The sequence below is a fragment of the Homo sapiens genome, chromosome 15 (assembly GCF_000001405.40).
Source record: "Homo sapiens chromosome 15, GRCh38.p14 Primary Assembly".
NCBI lineage: Eukaryota > Metazoa > Chordata > Mammalia > Primates > Hominidae > Homo > Homo sapiens.
The window spans coordinates 60,855,140-60,879,156 of NC_000015.10; the positions used below are offsets into that span (position 1 = coordinate 60,855,140).

The following is a 24,017-nucleotide window of genomic DNA, read 5'->3' on the forward strand; positions in this document are numbered from 1 at the left end:
TCTTGGGAGACACAGCCAATTTGGTAAGATGTGGGAGAAATCTGTACTTTAAAGTTTCCTGGAACACTGGGTATCAAAGGAATGAGACGTCTCCTGGCCTTTCATGTTGCAAACTAGATGGAGAGACACAGCTTAGCAGAACAGCTAAAGCTTAGGATCAACTTTTACAGTAACATGGAAACCACATGACAGATTGTATAGGCGCCTGCATAACTTCTGACTCACTCCCCAGGTGCTTCTGTTCTCTATAGCTACACAGAGCCATGTTGAGGAGACAAGACCAGAGCAGTATTATTCCACTTGGTGAAACTGGTCATATTTAGTCATACACTTATGAGGGAGGACAACAGCAGAATTAGAGGCAGTGTCTGAGTTTACTCTGCCTTTGTGCAGGTAAAATGTGACTCAGATACCAGAGGGTGAATGTGTGGACCCTTACACTTTATTATTTATTCTCTTGCAGTGTTTGCTTTTATTTATTTATTTATTTATTTAATGAAACTAAGTCTCGCTCTGTCGCCCAGGCTGGATTTTGCGGTGGTGCAATCTCAGCTCACTGCAGCCTCCGCCTCCCGGATTTAAGCGATTCTCCTGCCTCAGCCTCCTGAGTAGCTGCACAGGCGCCCGCCACCACTCCCGGCTAATTTTTGTATTTTCAGTAGAGACGGGGTTTCACCACGTTAGCCAGGCTGGTCTCGAACTCCTGACAACGTGATCCATCCACCTCGGCCTCCCAAAGTGCTGGGATTACAGGTGTGAGCCATCGCACCCAGCCCTGTTTGCTTATTTTTTTAAAAAGCATTTATGCATTAAATTGAACTAATATTAAATACAGTGTAGATTTCTGGGCTAACCTCATATATACTGAATCAGGAATTGTGATGAAAGGCCTGGGAATCTAAACTTTCAGCAACCTCAAGGGATCCTTAAACCCACTCATGTTAAATATGGTGGCCCTGCTGATCCATCCTCAACAACCACATCCCTGAACAGATCTGAAGATCATCCCTACCAACTGGGGAAACTGATGAAGTGGAAAAGGAAAAGTTAAAAGACAATGAAAAGAGCTCAGGTAAAACTATCTTCTTGGCATATTTGAGGCCACTATTAAGTGGCATAGAACGTTTTGCTTCTGAAGGTGGAAACCATTCAGATGCCTTCCACAACTCAATATTTTCTTTTCCTCTCAACCCTCCCCCAAGTAATAACACTGAATAGAGTTCACCTTTCCAGGTCTCTTCCTGTCCAACCACTCACCTGTTAAGATTTAAAGCATGGTAGCAGATCTCCTGAATAGAATCTCTTGGGGTGAAGAGGTGAGATCCATCACGATTTTAAAGAATCACTGACCTTTTTTTTTTTTTCTTAGAACTAGAAGAGTCCTTAGATATTATCAAAATATTTACAAGACAAAGATAAGTCATCGATGCAAATGAATTAATACTTTTACAACTTGAAAAAAAATGTATAACATTTTACATCATGCTTGAATCAAGGGGGAAGAAAGAGTATGCTGTAGAGTGTGAATTCAGGTGACTCCTGGCAACTGCATGTTTAATTCAAATAGAGCAAGAGAGAAAGTGCTGCCTCTTTTCTGGACAGGGAACGCTGCCTGAATGAGAAGAGTTTTAGCTGACATTTCAGAGGTGGAACCTGGACTGTCAGAAGCATGTGTTGGTAAGGACAGAGAGGGAGAAGGGGTGCTATTCTGGGGACAAATTAGTTTAGGAGAAGGCTCAGAAGAGAGATTCACCAATTGGGTAAACCTTGAGTCTATCAAAAGAGGAAGGATGAGGAATAATGGGAGAATGTCAGAAAGACAAAGGAAACTCTTGTTCCTAATCTGTGCGTAGAACACTGGAAGGATGAGCACAGAGGAAGCCATCGTTGCTTCATTCATTCCTCCACTCTTCATTCAATAAACGTCTAGTGGGAGAGCATCCAGGGATGAATGATACTTAGTTGGCACCTATAAGGACCTTGCAGGCTCGTGGGCCAGCCAGAAAAATAATGAGAGACATTTTCATTATGGTGGGACAAGGGCTATGATGAATAGTTGAGGGGCACATGGGTGAAGTATAAATGCAGACAGAACATGTTAGGGAAAGCTTTCCAGATAACATGGCACTTCCCAGGGCTTGAAGAGAAACAATGAACAGAGATCTGAACCCCAGGGGGAGCTACCCGGCAAGTCAAGTTCCCACGAAGAAGCCCGAGACTGAAATGATCTTTGCTCATGCACCCCAAATGGAAGTAAATGTATCAGATGTTGAGTCTTTGCCCTCTCCACCTTGAACACCCCATCCACACAACACAACATGCCAGGCTTTGGAATGAAACCAGCAGTGTACACTCAGCCAAAGTGACTGATGTTGCTTTCCGGGTATTTGTAGCTGAAGGTATGCCTACTCCTTTCCCATACAAACAGAGGAACTCAGCTGGCATCAAGACTCAGCCTCAAAGCATCCAGCCAAGCAGAAGGCCTACCTGGCTGCCGCACACGCCCTGCAAAATGGCACACAGGTGCTATCATCCAGCTAGCAGCTTCAGCCGTGTAACCAACTCCAGAGTGTTGACAGCTGCAGTAAAACTCACTTGGAGTTCAACATAATTAAGCAAAATGATTAGTACCGAAGAGAAGCTGGCAACAAAGAACTTTGGTTTCTGAGGCAAAATTATAGGATCCCAGGATATTAGAGCTGGAAGGAGGTCTTACAGATCACAGCCAGCCACCTCCATTTCACAGATGAGAAAGTCAGGCCAAGAGAGGTGAACTGAAGGGCTGAGGATGACAGAAGAAGCTACACAGTATCAGGGTAAGAGTGAGGACTCTGAGATCGGTCACACTGGGGTTTGCAACCCAAGTTTGGAACTCACTGACTTCAGGACAGCACCTTGGTCTCTCTAAGCCTCAGTTTCCTTTCTGAAGTTTGTGTTGCTATGAGGATTAATTGAAGGTTATTGCAGGGCCTGTTGCCCATGGCCAGTATATAACGTTACTATGGAGAGTCAGAACACGGGGTCCATGGCCTTGCTTCACCATGTATGAGCTGTGTTTCCCTGGGTCTCAGTTCTTGTACTTATGAAATGGAAATAAAGATGCTAGTACCTGCCCTAATTATTTGCCAGGATAGGTGGAAGGCTTGTGGGTGAGAGCTGTGTACACTTCTAAGCAAGTTTTTGTTATTACTATTCCCATTATGGCAAAAACACGTTCTGGGTCTTTCTACTGGTAAGTGGCAGGGCCAAGACAGGACACATGCAGTGAAGAAAAAAGACCAGGGACATTTTCTCCCAGGCAACTGATGGACTGCAATGTTTGGACTCACCCAGTATGGTTCAGAAGGTCTGATGGGTCAGTGATGAGCTCAGGCGGGAGAAGAAATCTGCAGTGTATTCAATGCCAAAGGGTCTCATTTCTGGGTGGGAGGGACAGCGGGGATGGGGTGAAGCAGGGGTGGGCAGCAGGAAGGAGAGGAAAGAACCTGGGGAAATCAAACCACCTGCCTGGGTTTCACTCTGAGTTTTCAGATTCATTAAAAAGAAAGAAAATACACACACACACACACACACACACACACACACAAAAGCACAAAGCAAAACCTCAGTTTGGTCAATCCACAAAAAATGAAAGACAGGGCTGCAAAAAGTGCTGAGAATGGGATTGCTCGACTTTTCACAGCTTCAGCTGGCTTACAATACCCTCAGCTTGGTGCTTCTCCCGAATCCACATCTCAAACGCTCTAATTAGATTGTGCAGCCGAAAGAAGGCCCGGTGCCCTTGGAAATAAGTGATTGCTTACTTGCCACAGGAATGTTCTGTGCTTTCATAGGCTTCATCTTTTTTTTTTTTTTTCCTGGGGGCTTGGGAATGAATTGGGCAATTTCTTAGGTGTCTGCTCCACAGAAAGACGTTGAGCTTACATTTGGTTTCTCTTTTTACCTAGGTTCTTGCCTCTGCCTGAAATACTCTTGGTCTGGCTTCCTTACTTGCTCACCTGCTCACCTCTAAGACCCAGTTCAGGGCTCCCACAGGATCCATCCACCTAAATCCTTACCAGGGGTGCCTGTGGAATGGTTACTGTTTACCTGTCTTCCCACCAAGAGATGATCCCCTAAGGACAATGGCTTTGTCGTCTTCATCTGTTCACCTTTGTGTTCCCTATATTTGGCATGGCGCTTTGCACCTGGGGCCTTGCAACTCAAAGTGTGGCTTATGGCTTAGCAGCATCAGCCTCACCTGGGACCTTGGGACCTTGGGACCTTGGGACCTTGTGAGAAGTACAGAGATCTCGAGCTCCACCCCAGACTTACTGAATCTGAATTTTCTTTGCCTTTTTTTTTTTTTTTTTTGAGACAGGGTCTTGCTCTGTCATCCAGGCTGGAGTGCAGTGGCACAATCATAGCTCATTGCAGTCTCTTCGTGGGACTGCCCAAGAGATTGTCCCATCTCAGCCTGGTGAGACTATAGCAACACGACACCCGGGTTTTTTTTCTTTCTTTCTTTCTTTCTTTCTTTTTTTTTTTTTTTTAGAGATGGGGGTCTCACTTTCTTGTCTAGGCTGTAAATTTTCAGTTTAACAAGTTTCTTATGTGATTTGTGGCCACACTGAAGACTCACCAGAACAGGGTGGGGTGGGGAATACTTAATCAATATTTGTGGAATTTACCCGATGAAATCCAGTTATTCCTGCTGAATTTCTCTCTCCTCCAGGAGGACATAGCAAACGAGCTGAGGAAGGTGAATGCTGCAACCCTCTCTCCTCAGCCCTGCAGCCGATCCCTGACATAAACTCCTTGAAGTTCAGTGGCCTCTTTCCATGCACCTACCACCTACACCTGCTGCTTTCAAAGAAACCACAACCTGGACCGGGAACAGAACTGGACGTGCCAAAATGCCTGAGGACACTTCATCGAATGTGGCTGGCTTGATGGGAAGCTGGCATGACTAGAAATGTCAGGAGTCTTCCCTCTCGAGGTTTCAAGCTTTGTGTTTCTGACTCAATGGTCCGGATTGAGATCAGATGAGTCAAGTTCAGATGACCATGCAAACCTTTAGATGGGGCCTAAAACCAAATCTGTGTTCTCAAACCATTCCAAATGTGTTCATCACCAGTTATAGTTTACCATACCACCCAATCCAAGAGAGTGCAGTCATTTCTCTAATAGCAGATGCATAATTTTCTCATCAATGGAAAATCTAAGTGTACATCACAAGGTCAAAAGTTGCGAGAAACTTGACACCTTCGAGATTGTGCCAAACCTCAAGCTTGCAGTAATAAGGGCTCTCAGTCAAACCTTCTGAGAATGAAGTGTATTTGACCCAACGTTTAGCATAAGCAAGCACGTACTATGCTGTCCCTTTACGATGGCTGAATTCTTGGCTAGACTATGAAGGAACACAACAGCCTAAGCAAAGCCTATATAAAACATCAACCCACGGTCATGGCCCAATGAGATATAGAGATATTGTTGAAATCCAAGAAAGTGAAACAAAAATCCTGAGCCTTATTCGCTAAATTCCCTTAATTGTGACACACTAAACAAGTAACAGTCATTAGTTCTAGTATCATGTAAGTACAACATTCTAAAATGGCTACTACAGATATCAAAAGCATTAATTCAATGTACACTTACTGGGCACCCACTGTGTGCTAGGGGAAGTGTGCTAGGGTAATGGAGATTCACCATGGAACTTCCTTTTATTTTCCCTCACTGCCTTTCTCTTTTCAAATATTTAATGACCATCCACTGCGTCCCAGAAGTTGCCAGGCCTGGGGCAGGAGATTCTCTCTCCTTAAGGCCCCTGTGTCCCAGCTGGGAGTGACAGATACATCAACCAATAAATAACATGGTGGGAAAAGTCCATTAATAATGATGTGCACACAGTCCTTAGGGGTATCCTTGACCATCATGCTCCAGCTTAGATCTCTGAAAACGACCTTTTGGCTGTTACTGAGGATGTCAGCAATAAAACTGGATCCTAAAGAAACCATTCATGATGATATATCCTTATTGGAATTGACAATGCATGAGGAAATCACACATGTAGGTCCCAACTGATAAAGCATTATCCATCCATTAAGTTAGACAGGAGAGGTGGCTTAATGTCAATAACATATCTCAGAAAAAAAATGTGCTTATCTCTTGATTTTTGTAGATCAAATCCCACTAGAGGAATTGGGTATGTTTGTAGACCCAACCACTTACATTGATAAGGCAGTTTTCAAAGTGCTTTTATAAGTATTTGCTCATTGGGTCCTCAGAGTAACCCTGGAGGTAGCTGGTGGCTCACCAGTGTGGCATGGTTGTGATGAGGACTACTGTACCATGCTCTTCGTCAAGCAAAAGGCAGACAGTCACTCTCCACCTTTTTATAGATAGATTGACTGATTGATTGAGATGAGTCTCACTATGTTGCCCAGGCTGGTCTTCAACTCCTGGGCTCAAGTGATCTCTCTGCCTTAGCCTCACGAGTACCTGAGACTACAGGTGCGAGCCACCATGCCTGGCTCATTCTTCATTTTAAAAGCATAATAAATACTCTTTAAAAATTCCAAGGAACGAGATGTCCCTCTAAACTGCCTTCTTCCTCTTCGTGTAATTTGACATTAAGTGTCCTGGTGTGTTAAGCTTGCCTCTATTTAAATAGCCCTGCAGAAGGCCATACCACTCAGGCTTAAGGGGACAGAAGGTACTCTGTCCTGGAAGCATCATGACACTAAAAGTTCATTAAGATCTCTATCCCAGCTATTACACTCCTAAGGTCACTGGGCTCTCCTCAATAGGTATATTAAGCAGCAGCCTCAAAAACAGTCCTCAGTTTTAGGATGCAAGGAAAATAATTCACGAAGGTGATCAACTTTAAGTTCAAATTATATTCACTCTAGATTTTATCATGGCTCCTGCCCATGAATATACCATCTTCCATTCACATCTAAGGCAACTAGTTCAGGGTGAGAGGAAATGGGCACTTTATGAACATCTGCTATATACAAATCTTTACCCACCTTTTTCCTCCTTTAGAATTTTTCTAACTCAGTGGACTCTCCATGATTCAAAGGAAGTCCTTGATTTTCACTCCTTCTCACAAGGTTACCTCTTACAGGTAACAGTACCCTCTTGCCTGCAAAGGTCAGGACAAGAGGATAGAGGAAAAAGCTAAGGGAATCTCAGAACCGTTTATGTGCTAAAATTCTTAGCTTAGATGTATAGATGGACAAGGAAAAGTGGGCAAGAGAAAGTAAAACTAAAATTTAGGCAAGGAAGCCAATTACCCAGTAAAGAGGGAGGCTAGCATCCTAGCATGAGAGTATCAGACCAGACTATCTCAGACCCTTAGTCTTGTGGATCAAGGCACTGATGGAGGGCACTGTAGAAAAGTGTTGAAAGCAATATGGCAGACACTACTGGATTGGCAAATTGCATCCGCTCCTACCAAAGGATCACACTCCCAGAAGCTAAAGGAAAGAAATGGAGAGTGGGAGGTGTATTTTGGGTAAAAAAGAAAAAGAAGCGCTTGTATGAATTTTCATGTTATTTCAGTGAAGTCATAATAGAACAGCTTCCCTTCCCAGAGCTTGCCCAGAACAGCTATTTAAAGGGGGAGTGAGAACTGTACAAGCTTTGACTAGATTCTGAGGTCGGAGCCTTAATTAGAGTCACAATTGTATTGTACATCTATTTGTGTAACTGTTCAATTAGGAGTGTAATAGCTGGGACAGAGATCTTAATGAGCTTTTAGTGTCATGATGCTTCAAGACTGCCCTTTTTTGGTTGTTGTTATTATTAAGCTTTCATATAGGGGCTTTTCCTCTCTGCTGTCCAACTGTGTGGTTCTCCCTTCAGGCAGGTTGAAATGCAAGACTGAGTCTTGCTATATCTAAACTTGGGCATTAAAAATGGGCTGTCTTCCCCTTATCATCTTCATGATTAGCTTGTAAACAGTTTCTTGGGTCTATCCTGTTATCAACAAAAACTCTAGGAATACTGGAATATTAGGGCCAATCTTTTACAGTTGAGATAATTGAGATTCAGAAAGATGAAGTGAACTACTGGACACAGCACAGATAGTGACAGAGCCTGGGCTTGCACATTAGTGTTCTGACCTTTCAGGAACAAAACAATCACAATGCCTGTACATGTCATAATAAGGTCATTCTAACACTACAATGTACACCAGTACCCAAACTGGATCATTCATTTAAAAAAAATTCATTCCCGAAGACATAGTTTTTGTGGTCTTAATAGGTATTTTACTTAATTTTCCTCTGCCTTTCACTACTTAGACTTGGGTACAATTAAAGATGATATTTATATTTTGTGTTATATAGAATGAACAGCACTCAAACACATTCTTATTTAAGCAAATCTGGCCTACGAAAAGCTGTATTCATGAACCCTCACCAAATAAATGGTGAGGATGGTTTTTTGTTTTGGCTTTAGAAAATGATTCTCTGCCTTAATTCCCTCACATGTAAAATAGGCATAATACTGCCATCTACCTTACAGGATTGTTGGGAAGATTAAATGAAGTAATGCAGTTAAACTGTTTAGTAGACTGTTTCGCAGAGCTTCAAACTCAGTCAATACTAGCTGCTTTTGTTCTTATTCTTTTCATTATCACAAAAGGGTGGCCAGAAGATTATGCATGCCAACTGTCAGAATCTTTTTTTTTTTTTTTTTGAGACAGAGTCTCGCTCTGTCGCCCAGGCTGGAGTGCAGTGGCACCATCTCAGCTCACTGCAACCTCCGCCTCCCAGGTTCAAGCAATTCTTCTTCCTCAGCCTCCCAAGAAGCTGAGACTACAGGTGCGTGCCACTGTGCCCAGCTAGTTTTTGTATTTTTAGTAGAGAGGGAATTTCACCATATTGGCCAGGCTGGTCTTGAACTCCTGACCTCGTGATCCGCCTGCCACAGTCTCCCAAAGTGCTGGGATTATAGGCGTAAGCCACTGTGCCCAGCCCTCAGAATCATTTTTTATATTTTGTAGGAGGAGGCGGACAACTGGGGTGGCATGGTGGGGGTGGTTTAAGTGTTAATATTTTGAGATGATTAAAAAGGAAGAGAAAATGAATGTCAGAGCTTGTGAAAATGACTGTTGAGACAAAACAATTACTCTGTTATAAATTAATAATGCAATTAACTTATGATATGTTATTGAGTGCTTGAAGAATGGATAGCCCTCAAATATTCTTTTTAAAACCCATTTATTGCCCAAGATAAACTTAAGGGTAGTGTCACATTTTGAAAAATGTTATTTTATTGGCCATAATTTTTCACAGTTTCGATGGGGACTTAGTGACAGCCCAACACAGCAAACGTCCTTTCATGTTACCATCCTTGTTTTTTTTTTTTCTTTCTTCTAAAGCTAAATTGTCCTGGGACACTCCAAATGTGATTTATTTGTCCCAAGGCCAGTAGAAGTTTCCATGTAGGTGAAAATGGATGTTTGGCTAGTTGAAGAGAAACGGAAATGAGTTCTGCAAGCTGACTTACCCAGTGGAAATGGGTAAGTAACTCAGGAACATTATATCACTGTACATTCTGACTATAAGGAATTCTGGATAATTCATGTCCCTTATAGATACATATGAACTTACACATGATCTATCAGGAAGGAAGAAGACAGGAGCCCCATGAAGAGGGTGGGCATCTCAGTGCCAGGCCTTTGTGCTATGTGCTTTATTTACTCACTTAGTAATTGCAACGGTCTAGTGAAGCTTTAGGTTCCAAAGTCACAGAGCACCAAGTAACACTACCACTGGGATTTGTTCCACATTTGGTATTGCTAGTATTGTGGAGACTTTGTTTTACCTTGCCTCTTCCTTTGGGGAACAGTAGTAGGCATCCACTTTTACAAGAAAGTTGATGCTGTGAAGAGGAAATAAGAGGCCAGATAAATTCAAGGTAAAATTAATGAAGATATGTTTAGATCCTGGTTCTCCCATTGCCTGGTCCAACGTTCTTTCCACCACATTCCAGTCCTTAGGGATGAGGTAGAAAGAGAAAGATGTTTGATAGACCTGATAAACCCTGAACAGGGCTCCCTGTCAGAGAACTTGGGTTCCAGTCTAGTCTGTGAATTTCACTGCCTGAAACCTGGCTCTTTACTTCCTCACACCTGTTTCCTCATCTATCAAATGGAGAAGTTGGTCTAGAAGATCTCCAAGGTCCATTTCAGATCTAACACTCTATTATTCTATTATCTTTGTGCTCTGGTAAGTAGAAGCATATAGCCCTGGGCTTATTAATATTAACTGGGGCAAACAAGTGAAATTAGTTTATGAAAATAGAGCTGTGGTTTTTGCTTGGAGCCAAATCTGCCTTATGAGACTCACTTTAAGCATTGGTAATGGGATTGCTGATGGCTCCTTGGCCAGAACCTCAATGCCCTGCTGTTACACTTTCCAGGTGGTGCCAAGGGTGAGCGTCCTCTGTAGACACATGAAACTGAGGCATTACACAGTTTAAGTGAAAGGAATAAATCAAATCAGTTACATTCAGCCTGACTCATCTTTTGTCTATCTTTTCTCAATGCTTGTTCAGTCCAGCTCAGTACGAAGGCCAACCCTTCCTGGAAACAGCCCCTTCCAGTCCCAGCCTGCATTGAATGGGTTGCTTCACCCAACCACAGAGAGTTCCTACTCTCTACACTCATACCATTTATATTTTGGGACTCAGGCCTGTCTATATGTCTCAATAGCTGAGAGCTATAATGAAGATCGTTGTGTCAGGGGTAATGCTTTACGCCTTTGTTCAGGGGAGAGATGGGATATTAAAATTTTTTGGCCTAGACAACTTATCTTCTTTTATTTATATATTTTTACATGTGATATTTTGATACAAACATACAATATATAGTGATCAAAATGCATCACCCCAAGCATTTACCATTTTTCTGTGTTAGGAACATTCCATTTCTCCTCTTTTAGTTATTTTGAAATAGACAATAAATTATTATTAACTATAGTCACCCCTATTGTGCCAATGAACATTAGATCCTATTCCTTCTATCTAACTGTATTTTTGTACCCACTAACCATCTCCTCTTTATATCCACCTCCCCACTATTCTTCCCAGCCTCTGGTAGCCATTATTCTACTCTCCATCTGCATGAGTTCAAGATTTGTTTTAGCTCCCACATATTAAATATTTGTCTTTCTGCACCTGGCTTAGTTCACTCAACATAATGTCCTCCAGTTCCAAGTGATTTTGTGATTTATAACAAGACATATATATTTGGTCTTCATCCATTTCTGTTACTGAGTTCCTAAAACCCTTGGAATTTCAGAAGGGATAAGAGAATGAAGGCAAAATCATCATCTTTTATTGTTCATAACATACCCTTTTCAATTACACCTGCGTTTATATTAATGACTGCCCTTTAGGAAGCTCCTAAGCATGGGGGGCTGGTTGCCAGAGGAACAAACTGTGTGATTGGGACTCTCAGCCCCACTCTCCAGACCTCTAGGGAGGAGAGAGGGGCTGGAGTTTAAATTAGTCACCAGTGGCCAATCATGCCTACATGACAAAGCTGCCATAAAACCCAAAAGGACAGGGTTCAGGGAGATTCCAGGTTGCTGAAGACATAGAGGTGCTGGGAGGGTGGCATGCCCATCCCCTATATCTTGTCTTATGCATCTTTTCCATCTGGGTGTTCCTGAGTTGTATCTTATCTTTATCTATCTATCTATCTATCTATCTATCTATCTACCTACCTACCTATCTACCTATCTAGTTTCGAGTCAGAATCTTGCTCTGTCATCCAGGCTGGAGGGCAGTGGTGCGATCTTGGCTCACTGTAACCACTGCCTGCAGGGCTCAAGCGATTCTCATGCCTCAGCCTCCCGGGTAGCTGGGACTACAGCTGTGAGCCACCATGCCCGGCTAATTTTTGTATTTTTAGTAGAGACGGGGTTTCGCCATGTTTCCCAGGCTGGTCTTGAACTCCTGGGCTCAAGTGATCTGCCTGCCTAGACCTCCCAAAGTGCTACCACACTCAGCCTTTTTGTATAAACCTTTTTGTATCTATCTTTTAATATAAACCAGTAATTTAGTAAGAAAACTGTTGTCCTGAGTTCTTTGATCTGTTCTAGTAAGTGACTGAGCCTGAGGAGGGGTACTGGCAACTTCGAAATTATAGCTGATGGGTCAGAAATCACAGGTGACAACATGTAGATTGACATCTTAAGTGGGGGCAGTATTGTGCAACTGAGCCCTTAACTGTGGGATCTGATGCTATTTCCAGGTAGATAGTGTCAGAATTGAGTTTAATTGTAGAACACCCAGTTCGTGTGTGCCACAGAACTGAATTGTTATAGGAAAAGAAACGCACACATCAGGTGTCATATGTGAAGTACTGAGAGCAGTAGCAGAGAATCTTTCCTCTTAGGGTATACAGATGGGAGTTCATAGGCTATATATTTGACCTACATCGCCCTTTTTGCCAAGTTTATTTTAATGTTCTGCTCTTGGGTTCTAACAAAAGATGCATTAGAGCCTAAGTGTATCAATGTGCTAAATAATTAATATGTACTCTATAGAAATTTTGTTGAGGCTACAGCTACCAGGATCTCTTGATATTCTCTATATGAGATCCTATGAGAGAGTTTTCTCACAATTTCATTTCAAGAAAATGGCTACCCCGTTTTAATGATCATTTGATTAATAAGAACTGTGAATTGACAATGTCTCCCATTTTATTTTGGTTGCCAGGAAGTCCAGGTGAAATACGAAATAAATTGATGCACTCTTTCTTGTTCTATATAATATGTATAGTATATTTTTAATCTGGTCATGATAGTTTTCAATTTTACTTACACGTTCCCTGATCCTGCTTCTCTAATCTTATTTATATTTTGCCATTGTTATATATCAGAAGTTTCCTTCTATTTTCCCCAAATAGCTCTTAAAATAAGGTGAAATATATATAAATATACAAATAACACCCATAATTTGTTTAAATCTAAAATGCCTAGCATGGTGCCAGAATTTTAGCAGTTAATAACTACTGCTTGATTTATAGGGAGACACATTACACCTTATAGAGAAGCAGTTTCTGAGAGTCAGAGCTGGCTGGAGAAGAACTGCATGGTCCCTGTCACTGGAGGTATCTGTGAATAAACTAGATAAGCACTTTGGCTCACTTAGTTAAGCCTTGGTTTCTTTAACTGGAAAATGGCAGTAATAGCATCTCCCTTGGAGGTCACTGTGAATAGTATAAGTTGGTACATGTCAAGCTCTCAAGCTCTTAGCACAGGGACGCACATTTGAAAAAAGTAGCCTTTATTATTAATGAGGACTTGTGCATTGAAAGCTGTTTTATTAGCTTAAGTACACTTCCAAACCTGATGGTTCTGTTGGGCTAGCAAGCCCTCAGTCATCAGAAGAATCATAGACTTAGAGTCTTGGACCAACCCTGCCTGTGTGGCTACTGTGAGAGGGATTTAAACAGCAAATGAAGGACTGGATGGAGTGGCCTTTAGGCTTCCTTCCACCCCAAAGTGCGTGGTACTTCGGTTTCAAATCCATTCAATCAGAGATGGCATAAGGGTGTCTGGGAGAAAAAAAGGATTCTAATGTCATTTTATTAGAAGTTCTCCCTTCTTTCATGTGTAAATTTCACTTGGGACCTTATCAATTGGATATTAAAGCATTTTCCAGGGGGGAAAAACACTCAGTAAGAGGAAAATTGAGAAAATGTCTGAGAGCACTTCATGCCTTCCTGTCTATCTGTACATAAAGAGCTGCTTTCTTCACAGCTTTCCAAACACAGGTTGGCAACCTGATTATTTCCACTAGGCACAGACAGTACACTTCAAACAAGGAAGCTGACCAGAACCCATGCCAAACATGATGGATGTTCCAGTTTTATTACCATCAACCTCGGACCAAATCACTCCATCAGGCACCCCCCCATTATTTTACAGTATTTTGATGGTGGTATCCTTCAGAAAATGGGCCACATCTAGAAAAAAAGAACACATCAGTTCCTTATATTTTGGCTGAAATGACCATAAAATTGCAGGTCCTCAGTGCAGCCAAGGTAACCATTTTTTCCCACTGACCTTTGTGTAAGGAGTTGTCAGGCATCGGAATGTGGCTGAATTAATAGGTAGGACCTTTCCCAGAGATATAGAGGGCACAGGCTGATTTCGCGATTTTATAAACAGATTTTTCTTTTCCATGAAAATCCCAGGAGAGGCATCTATTACAGAGGTTGGGACTATAGGTGTCACCCAGGATAGGCCACAATATAGATTATCCAGGTGCACCTAACAGGAGAAGGAAAGGTGGTCTCAATAATGCAGGGCATGTTTCAGCTTAATACTCCTGAGTTCAGCCAACACTTTGGTTAGAAACATGATTGGAAATCTCCTGTTGATAGAGTCTCTCCAAATAGACTCTTATCAACAGGAGATTGCCAGTGGGCAGGTCTGATGGCACACAATGTCCGGCATGTGGCTGGTCACATAACAGGTATTATAAACATTTGTTAAAAGTTTAAATTTGCCCCAGCTGCTCTCAAGTAATGGCTTTTACAAGTCCCAGACTTCTAGGATCGAAAAATGCATAAGCAAGTGACCACTCCTCCCTCTCCCCTTGGAAAACCATAAAATGGACAAGAAAGTGCATAAGCGATGCTAGCCCTAAGGGGAACCCTGGCCCTGACACGTTTTGCCATCCTCCTCTTGTTCCCTCTGGCTTGGTAGTGCATCACTGTTCTTGCTTCCTCCACACTTATGTCCCAGAGGAGGCAACTTGACTAGGATACATTGCACCACTCAGAATTCATAATAAGATCAAGAAGAAGTGACTTGAGGACTCTTTGTGTTCCTTGGTTGCCTGCTTATCTTTTCTCACTGTGGTTGACTGGGCCAAGGAAAATATCTCCATGAAGTAGTCTTTGCAACAATGGTATAAGAATTCAATCAGACATGTGACTAGGCCTTCCTATTATTCATGATTTCAGTCATAAGTTAATGAGCAAAGCAAAGGTTATTCCGTTACTAGCCACAGCTGGCTACAGAAACCAGGTGCTATTTATTCAGAGAGTTATTGAACTGCTGGTATGTACCAAGTAGCATGCTAAGCACTGTGGGGCTAAATAAAGGTAAATTAAACAAACATCCTATGCACAAATTAATTATCCTATGAGGGGGAATTAGACACCTACTTACATGACCAGAGAGTGAAAAGTGCACCTAAGAGCTATGGACAGCGATTTTTGTGGATTTTAGAGGAGAAATAATGTCTTCTGTTTACAGGTATCTACCAGGTTGTACGGAAGAAGCAGTTCATATGTTGGTCCTTAATGGATAAAAGGCATCTGGACCCAAGGAGGTAGTGGAAGTGTAGTGAGAGTGGCGACAACCATAGAGCAGAGGGGCGTCTTTAGCTAGCAAATCTCTGTGGGAGGATACATTAGACTAAGAAGGCACTTGGCCATTAGATTACGTAGTCAGTTTATAACTGTATATGCGTGGTGACGCTCAAACACTTTTGCACAGAAACCTACTTGGCGTCACAAAAGCATAAGACCTCCTGGACAATGGCCTGCATCTTCCCCTCCCCACTAGGCATTCTGGTTGTCAGTGGTCACAGGCATTTTATGCTAGGCCAATCCTTACACTCACTAGTCACATATGGGTCACTTATAGAGTTGTTTAACTGTCCCTGTGACATAAGCATAGGCTTGCCTTTGGCAACTGTACAAGACAAGTCCTAATCCTATTGTTCTTTTCCAAGACAATCAATGTGATCTCTTGCCAAGAAGTATTTTTTAAACAACTTCTTAACTCTCTCAGTTACTCTACTAGTCCTGTTAGGAAGACACATCTGGTTTGCTAGACAATCAATGCAAGTTGGAGAGGTTTGATACTCATGCAAACACAGCCAGATCCTCTTTTCTCTAAAGTGAGAACTTTTAGAAATGTCTTCTTGAGCACATCGGAACAAGCATAGGAAACAGTAATTAGAATGGACTTCAATGCATAATAGATCAAGTCTACAAAAGGAGATGGGTTGGAGATATCCAGGCAACAGAAGTTTTGCACGTTTCCCCAAATTACATTCCTGTTGCAGATCAAAGATTTGTTTTTTTTTCAAACCACACCAAAGCACACATTTGGAAGCCAAACTCCTCAAGGGCACTTAAGAATTATTTGGTAACCTTCCTGTTAAATTTGGAGTTCAGCCTACAAGCTTAAGGTACACCAAATAATGGCCTTCACTGAATCGCTGCCCTAGCAAACAAAGCATTGTTTATGGGATTGGAGAATGACATCTACATGAGGTTTGAAGTATTTTATGTGCATAATGTGTTTCAAGGGCCATGGCCAGCCAGACTACCTGTAATGCCATTCATCAAATAAATATTAATATCACCAACTCAGATTTTGACTCTGTTCTTCCTTGTGGGAGCCATTCAACCTAGGAGGGTTGATGAGGGAAATATTGCCCCTATATTCCAAAGCTGAATGGTTTTTCCACTTAAGAAAGGAAGACTTTTCCCTTTTACAGAACTGGCTCTCTCTTGTCCAGTCTAGCCAGTTCAAAGCCTCTTATGTGAAGCAGTCAGCTTCCATATACCACAACCATGCATAATTAAAAACTTTAAGGATGTTAAATGCAATGCAGTATCCTGGATTGGATCCTGGAAACAGAAAAAGGACATTAGTGGAAAAAACTGGTAAAATCCAAATAAAGTCTGGACTTCAGTTAATAGTAATGTGCCAATGTTAACTTCTGAGTTTTGGCAAATGAATCATAGTTATGTAAGATGTTAACGTTGGGAGACACTGGGTAAAAGGTATGCAGAAACTCTCTGCATTATCTTTACAACTCTATGCAAATCTAGAAGTATTCCAAAGTAAACAGTTTATTGAAAGCTTTGTGGATGAACTTATGCTTTGGAGAATAACTCACTGGCAGCACTATGAGGTAATCTCTATCATAAAGCAAGTGTGCCATAGCAAAATAAGCACTAGTCTAAGAGGTAGGAGCTCCATGTCTGAGGCCCAGGTCTGTACATACTTTAAGCTGTGATCTTGCATTGGCCATTTAACCTCCTATAGAATGAATACCTACATCTGTGAGATGCTCTGCATCTCTCACAGGGGTATTAGGAAGATCATATACAAAGATGCTCTGGAGAATGCAATGAAAACCTAAAAGGATAACAAATTCAAAATGCGGTCTGAGCAAGACGTTGGGTATCTTGAGAAGGTACTGAGCCATGATCCGCAGGCAAACACAAAGGCAGCTATTGTTTGGTCTTCACTCTGGAAGTGGGACAGCAAGAGAAACTTTTCGAATGGTACCTGAGAGACCACACCAGGGTCTCTCAGGGTGCACAGAATTTAGCAACCAAGTATAAAGTAGGGCAGTGAGAACAGCAAAGGTTTTGCTTGACATCTCCTGGAATCTCTGAAACTGCAGAGTGGAATCACTTCTCTATTTAGTGACTGAAGAGGTGGTTCATACACAAGTAGAGGAATCTTGTGGTCCCAAATGCTAGCACCACCACTTGTTGATTTGTCATTCCAATTAACTAGTTCTTTCCTATGGCAGTACATCTGGTCTTTCTTGCACAATTCCCCAGCAACAACAATATCAAAGTCAACTCCTTAGCATGGTGCACAAGCTCCTTCACATCTGCCCCCCTGGCTCATCTCCTGCCCTCTCCTCCTTACCTCCAGCCATGCACCCCTATGTGCTGTTCCCCAAGTGCACATATTGTTTAGTGCTATGTGCTCTTCACCTGCTCTTCCTCCTCTCTGGGGTGCCCTTCCATATCTTCCTCACCAGCGCAATCCCTACTCAACTTTTCTTTTCCTAATTCCTTTATTTATGGGCTCCCTCTTTCCTCTTCTCCTTCTTCTTAGTTTTCGTTTTTCACATCAAGTGCCGAGTCTATAAAGATTCTTCCTTGATCTTTTGTCTCTCCCAGTCTCAGCTGGTGCCCAGAGCCTCTTGTGCCCAGAATTTCCCCTCACTCATGATTAAAGTGTTCATCTCAGATTCTGACTCTCTCCCTAACACATCCTCCACACCAGATTGTGGTCTTCTATGGGTAAAGGTCGTGTGTGTGTGTGTGTGTGTGTGTCTGTGTGTGTGTGTCTGTGTGTGTGTGTCTGTGTGTGTGTGTCTGTGTGTATGTGTGCAAGTTATCTTAATCATTTAGCCAAATATTCAGTACAAAGTAGGTTTTTGGAATAAATGAATGAATGAAGAAATGGTCATGCCCCTTAGATCTAGTCCAGAAGTATGCAGGTACTTCTAAAAGGCCAGGAAAACTTGGGATTACATGTTAAAAGTTACTTCTATTAGAATAATTTCCAAATACATTCATATAACTTGTGGTGAGCTCACACAGTTCGGTATTATTAACAATATGTACAGAGGATTTTGCAGAATGACATAATGAGAATGACAACATTTTATGACTAAGTACCAGATAATGAAAGAAAATTAATTAATTTGCTGCTAAGATAAATGACTATACAAACTTAGGGGGGAAAGCTGCCACAGCTATTATGTTTCTAAGTTTGTTCTGGAACATAAAGTAGCTTCCACCGAACAACTCCCACCTCCAATTAGCTGTATTAGCTCTATTAAGTTGAAATGCAGCTAGAGATATCCGGTTGCTGTTTTAAACATTCCCAAATAATACATTCTGGAGCAAAAAGCAAATTTTGTAGGTAATAGGTATAAAATATCAGGGAATTTATCTTTCACATAGTAATTCACAAAAGAAAGGGCAAATACAGAATGCAAAGCAGTCTGTCTATCCTTCTATAAATATTCGCCAATTAGCTTATAGGGAAGTCACTTAAAACAAATAACCTATTTTTTTCAATGTTAATATTAATTTTACCAAGCCAAGGCATGAAGTCCTGAAAAGGGAAGAAGAAAAACCTACAACAGCTGTTTATCTTAAATCTGGCATCCCTTTTTTGGCTCAAGAAAATTGATAAAAATCTCATTTTATAATAAGTTCACTGCTACATAAAATTTATACATTTGAACATTAAATTTTATGGGTTTTGTTTTTTTAGGGGAGTAGATTATACTAAAATTCTGCTTATTTGCAGACAAAGCTGTGTCCTTGAGGGTATAGTTGAAGTTAGAAACAAAATGTTTTATCTTATTTTTTTCAAAAATATGCATTAAGCATCAACTGTGTACCAGGCACTGTTCTAGGTGCTGGGAATACAGCAGTAAACAGAATAAACTTTCCAACTTTGTAGGGTTACATTCCAGCTTAGGGGTCAGTAAACTTCCATAAAGCATCAGCAGAGTAAATACTTTTAGTTTTGTGCCAAGACTGTCTTTTGTAAGACTCAACTCCACCATTGTGGTACAAAAGCAGCCACAGACAATACATGAAGGAATGAGTGTAGCTGTTTTCCAATTCAACTTTATTAATATAGAAAGGCATGGGGCCTGATTTAGCATGTAGGCCATTGTTTGCTAACTCCTATTCCAGCGTATAAAATTTCTTCTTAATCACCAAAACTAAGTAGGGGTATTACAGAATTTATGGAATGATTTACAGAATTATGGAAATTTAGAATTGAAAAAGGACATCCACTTATTTTAACCTTATTTTGCCCTGAGGAAGTAGGATCATGGTTAAAAGTGTGGCCTCTGGGGTCAGCCTGCTAGTGTACAAATTCTGCTTTTTCACTAACTATAGGTGATTTGGGGCAAGTTATTTAATCTTTCACTTTTTCTCATTGATAAAGGGAAGTGAATAATACTATCTACACCTCAGGAGACTCTTAGGATAATCCAGGTAAACATTTATCAGGGCATATGGCTCACAGGAAACTCACAACAAAATTCTAGCTATTCATCAGAACAACAACATCATCAATAACAACAATAATGGTAACAACAAAAACACTGAGACTCAGAGAGGTGACAGGACTTGCAGAGGGTCCCATAGCTAGACCCCTAGCTTACTGACCCCTAAGTTTACTGACCCCTAAGCTGGAATGTAATCCTACAAAGTTGGAAAGTTTATTCTGTTTACTGCTGTATTCCCAGCACCTAGAACAGTGCCTGGTACATAGTTGATGCTTAATGCATATTTTTGGGAAGAAAAAAAAAGATAAAACATTTTGTTTGTAACTTCAACTATGCCCTCAAGGACACAGCTTTGTCTGCAAATAAGCAGAATTTTAGTATAATCTACCCCCCTAAAAAACACAACCTATACAATTTAATGTTCAAATGTATAAATTTTATGTAGCAGTGAACTTACAAAATGTCCAGTGTCCAAGTCAGGATAGGAACTCAGGCTCTGTGCCTCCAAACTCAGGATCTCGTCTGATCACTTGCTGTCCTTCCTGGATCTCGGTAAATCATGTGATCCATGAGTAATAAATGTTGGGTATGTCTACAAATGGTAGCAGGACTCACTCAGTTCAATAACCCAGGGAATTCTAGAGCTGGGCTGTGCTGTATGGAGAGGCACTTCAGGGAAACAGACCTTTGAGAGTTAACCAAATCTTTCTGTTAGAAATGCGTCTGCTGTTGTCTCACCAGTATGTCCAACGGTGAGGATACCAGTGGAAATCACCCAGGAGAAGAATATGGTCATTCTGGGAATAAATTCTGCAGCCACGGTGGATGAGAGAAGCCAATCCCTCTAGATATGAATGAAGCCAGGCCTTCAGTAGTAGATTCACTGTGAACCAGAACGCCTGCAGGAGGTTAAACATTTTGGCTTTTTTCACCTGATGGCAGGCTCCAGTGGACCACCCAAGGAGCCCTTTGAAATACTACTTTTCATGGTAATTAGTTTCAAACTTTTGCTTGTTTCACTTAAGGATCAGGTTCTCTAAAAACTTCTTTGAAGACCACAGTTGTTCAGCGTATTTAATGTCAGTTATCCTCAAGGAAAGAGAAAAACCAGTTGTGAAAGCCAAGGGTTTTATACCACCACACCCTCCTGAAGTCCCACAGATTTCTACTATTTCAAGCAAATCAAGCCACAATAGCATAAATGTTCTTTCAAGGAACTTTAAGCTAATTAATTGTGAATGTGACAGCTAGAGTACAGAGAATTAATTTCCTGAGGTTGGTCTCCCCCAACCAAAAAATGTGTTTTTTCTGAAGTTGGCTTTCTGGGATCTGTCATTTGTGGGCTCTTACAGGAAGTGGGGGGGGGGGGGGGCGGCTAGGAGACCACCACACTTGTTGGAGGCACTCGGAATTCTTTTGACAAATGGTTTTGCTGACTTGAGACATCTGGGCCATATTGGGCTTAAATTTGATTTTAAAATCTTTCTTCTTAGGCCAAAGATAATGTTCTCTTTGGAAATCCTGGACATTACTGCACTGATGCCCATACACATCAACCTTCACACATTTTTTTAAAACCTTCGTTATCACATCAAGGCTATGTGATAAGAGTCACACAACTTCAGTCTGCCTGTGACACCATGGAGCACACTTGTTAGGATTTTTGCTGATTTTTTTTTTCTGAAATAATTTTTACATAGTACCATTTCCAGGTAATTTTCAAAGAGAAACTTCATCTAGTGTTTATGCTTCAATCATTCATATGCTTAATACAGGTGTATGGGACATCTTCTATGCCTGAGAGTTACCAGGTATCTGATATCATGAAAACATGGCTCTTTCCTCAAGGATTAGCGAGACAGACACCTAGTCACAATTCAAGATGCTAAGTGCTATTAAATTTTGTGGATATTGGACATATTTTCACTTGCGAGTGGGAGCTAAATGATGAGAACACATGGACACGTAGACGGGAACAACACACACTGGGGCCTTTCAGACGGTGGAGGGTGGGAAGAGGGAGAGGATCAGGAAAAATAACTAATGGGTACTGGGCTTAATACTTGGGTGATGAAATAATCTGTACATCAAACCCTATGACTTATGTAACAAACCTGTACTTGTACACCTGAACTTAAAATAAAAGTTAAAAAAATACTTTGCAGATATTGGGGAAGACTTTTTAGAAGAAAGGACATCTCAACACAAGGCTGAGAAGTAGTTCACCAAGGCAAGTAAATGAAAAGCACACATCAGGCTGAGCATGTATGAAATCCAGATGCAGACACAAGGACCTCTTAAGACCTAAGGTAGTATTACTGAACAATGAGAGCCTGGGTTTCTTTCACCTGCTTGGTGTGGTACACTCTTAACCTTCTCATCTACCTCTCTCTCCCCAGGACTTAGCATAGTGCCCGCTATTTTATAAGAATACAGTAATAATGTCAAATGAATGAATGAGTGTTCTTATGACTTTTTTTGGACACAAATGTTCTTCCCCTGAGATAGTAAGTTCTCTTAAGATAGGGTGTGAGGCTGTTTTGATGTAATCCAAAGATAACTTAACTGATTTAGTCTGTGAGTAAAAATGGCTGTTATTATTTTTAAAATCCAGGTAGATGTTATCACTCTCATTGTTATTATAACACTGTTATCATATCCAAGCATTTTTAATGAAAACACCAAAGTTTATCTTATAAATAACAAATCCATTACAAATCTAAGACTCTGTTAACAATCAAGATCCATATTAATGGAGTTCCTGACACTTCACTACTTCAGAAACACTAGTAAAATAAATTAATAAAATAAAGCAGTCAAAGCAATAAAAGAAAGATTTCACTTTCATGCTATGGAATTATGTCTGAATATACCCATAATTTCTTCCCTTTGCAGAAAATGGTAAAATTGCCTAAATCATAGATCAGTGGTGCTCTAATGAGACCCGATTTGGATTCACTTCTATTCAAGGCAAACTAACTGTATATAAATGCCTTGCTTTAAACATTCACAATATTATACAAACTATCCCACTGAAGTGAGTTTGGGCTGGGAAGAATAAGGTGTGGAGCCTAAATTAAGAATTTTCCAGCGTTGGCCAGGTGCGGTGGCTCACACCTGTAATCACTTTGGGAAGCCGAGGTGGGCGGATCACGAGGTCAGGAGATCGATGCCATCCTGGCTAACAAGGTGAAACCCTGCTTCTACTAAAAATACAAAAAAAAAAAAAAAAAAAAAAAATTAGCCAGGCGTAGTGGCGGGTGCCTGTAGTCCCAGCTACTCAGGAGGCTGAGGCAAGAGAATGGTGTGAACCTGGGAGGCGGAGCTTGCAGTGGGCCGAGATCGCGGCATTGCACTCCAGCCTGGGCGAAAGAGCAAGACTCTGTCTCAAAAAAAAAAAAAAAAAAAAAAAAAGAATTTTCCAGTGTTGAAGAGGACAGAGTGACTTTCTCCTCACCAGCCTCACCCTCTGGGGACACAGAGAGAGCTACAAATTTGGCATTACCCAGTTGGTGGCTGGTGTGACTCAGAAGGAGGGAAAATCATGGCTCAGAAACTGAAGATGTGTTGAAACCACCTTGATCTTTTGAGGCTCCGCCTGCTCGCCCTGCAGTGGCTGAGTCCTGACCATCCTCGGAGGTCACTCCTGCTCCCCGAAAGCTCTGCTCCTCTGCTAGTACTTTTTAGCCTTCTTAGCTAAATCTTAACTTACTATTATTGCTCAGACCTCTGTCTGAAAACCTGGGCCCTGCAGAAACAGCAGCTATTGGAAGCAATACTCCTGTAATGACCTACTGTGCTTATTTTTCTAGATGAAGTAAATTATGTCTGAGGTAATGTCTTGCAGGGCGTTAGTTAAGGAAAAATTCCCATTAGGTAGGCCTCCCTACAGGTATCCAGAATTGGTGTCTTATCCTACAATGTTTATTTTAATTTTCTTAATTTAAGCTCCTTGGATTCCAGACCTCCAGACCAATGGTGGATCTGCTCATCAAGTCCCAACTCAGCCACTCATCTGTCAGCTTGTGCAGGTTTTGGGACAGGATCTGAAGACCTCCATGACCTTTCTACTTCTTGGAGTCATGATTTCTAAAATCTGGCTGGCCTTGGTCTTCTTGGCTCCCAAGGTCCTCTACTGCCCAAGTTCCTGTGTCACAAAATCAACTGTTTCCATGTGTTAGAAGCATACACTTCATCTCCAC

The 24,017-nt window shown here is 41.4% G+C and overlaps 1 protein-coding gene and 1 long non-coding RNA gene across 3 annotated transcripts in view, besides 2 other annotated features; one reads left to right on the forward strand and one right to left on the reverse strand.

The window, feature by feature from the left end:
- Window positions 1–24,017, reverse strand: part of RORA (RAR related orphan receptor A) — a 741,019-nt gene that overhangs the window by 366,856 nt on the left and 350,146 nt on the right. The gene's annotated exons all lie outside the window — the stretch shown is intronic.
- LOC102724802 (uncharacterized) lies at window positions 851–23,842 on the forward strand. Its single transcript, XR_001751785.2, has 5 exons — window positions 851–8,250; window positions 9,371–9,511; window positions 13,028–13,111; window positions 21,981–22,124; window positions 23,764–23,842. It is a non-coding gene; the product is annotated as an uncharacterized LOC102724802 (long non-coding RNA).
- Window positions 3,430–3,983: an enhancer, noted in NCBI's record as "NANOG-H3K27ac hESC enhancer chr15:61150768-61151321 (GRCh37/hg19 assembly coordinates)". NCBI's record gives its function as "activates a minimal SCP1, AML or CMV promoter by ChIP-STARR-seq in naive H9 embryonic stem cells {active_cell/tissue: H9 hESC(naive)}" and the evidence as "EXISTENCE:reporter gene assay evidence [ECO:0000049][PMID:30033119]".
- Window positions 4,383–5,582: an enhancer, noted in NCBI's record as "MED14-independent group 3 enhancer chr15:61151721-61152920 (GRCh37/hg19 assembly coordinates)". NCBI's record gives its function as "activates an origin of replication core promoter dependent on BRD2, BRD4, P300/CBP and CDK7 cofactors, and independent of MED14, by STARR-seq in HCT116 cells {active_cell/tissue: HCT116}" and the evidence as "EXISTENCE:reporter gene assay evidence [ECO:0000049][PMID:35650434]".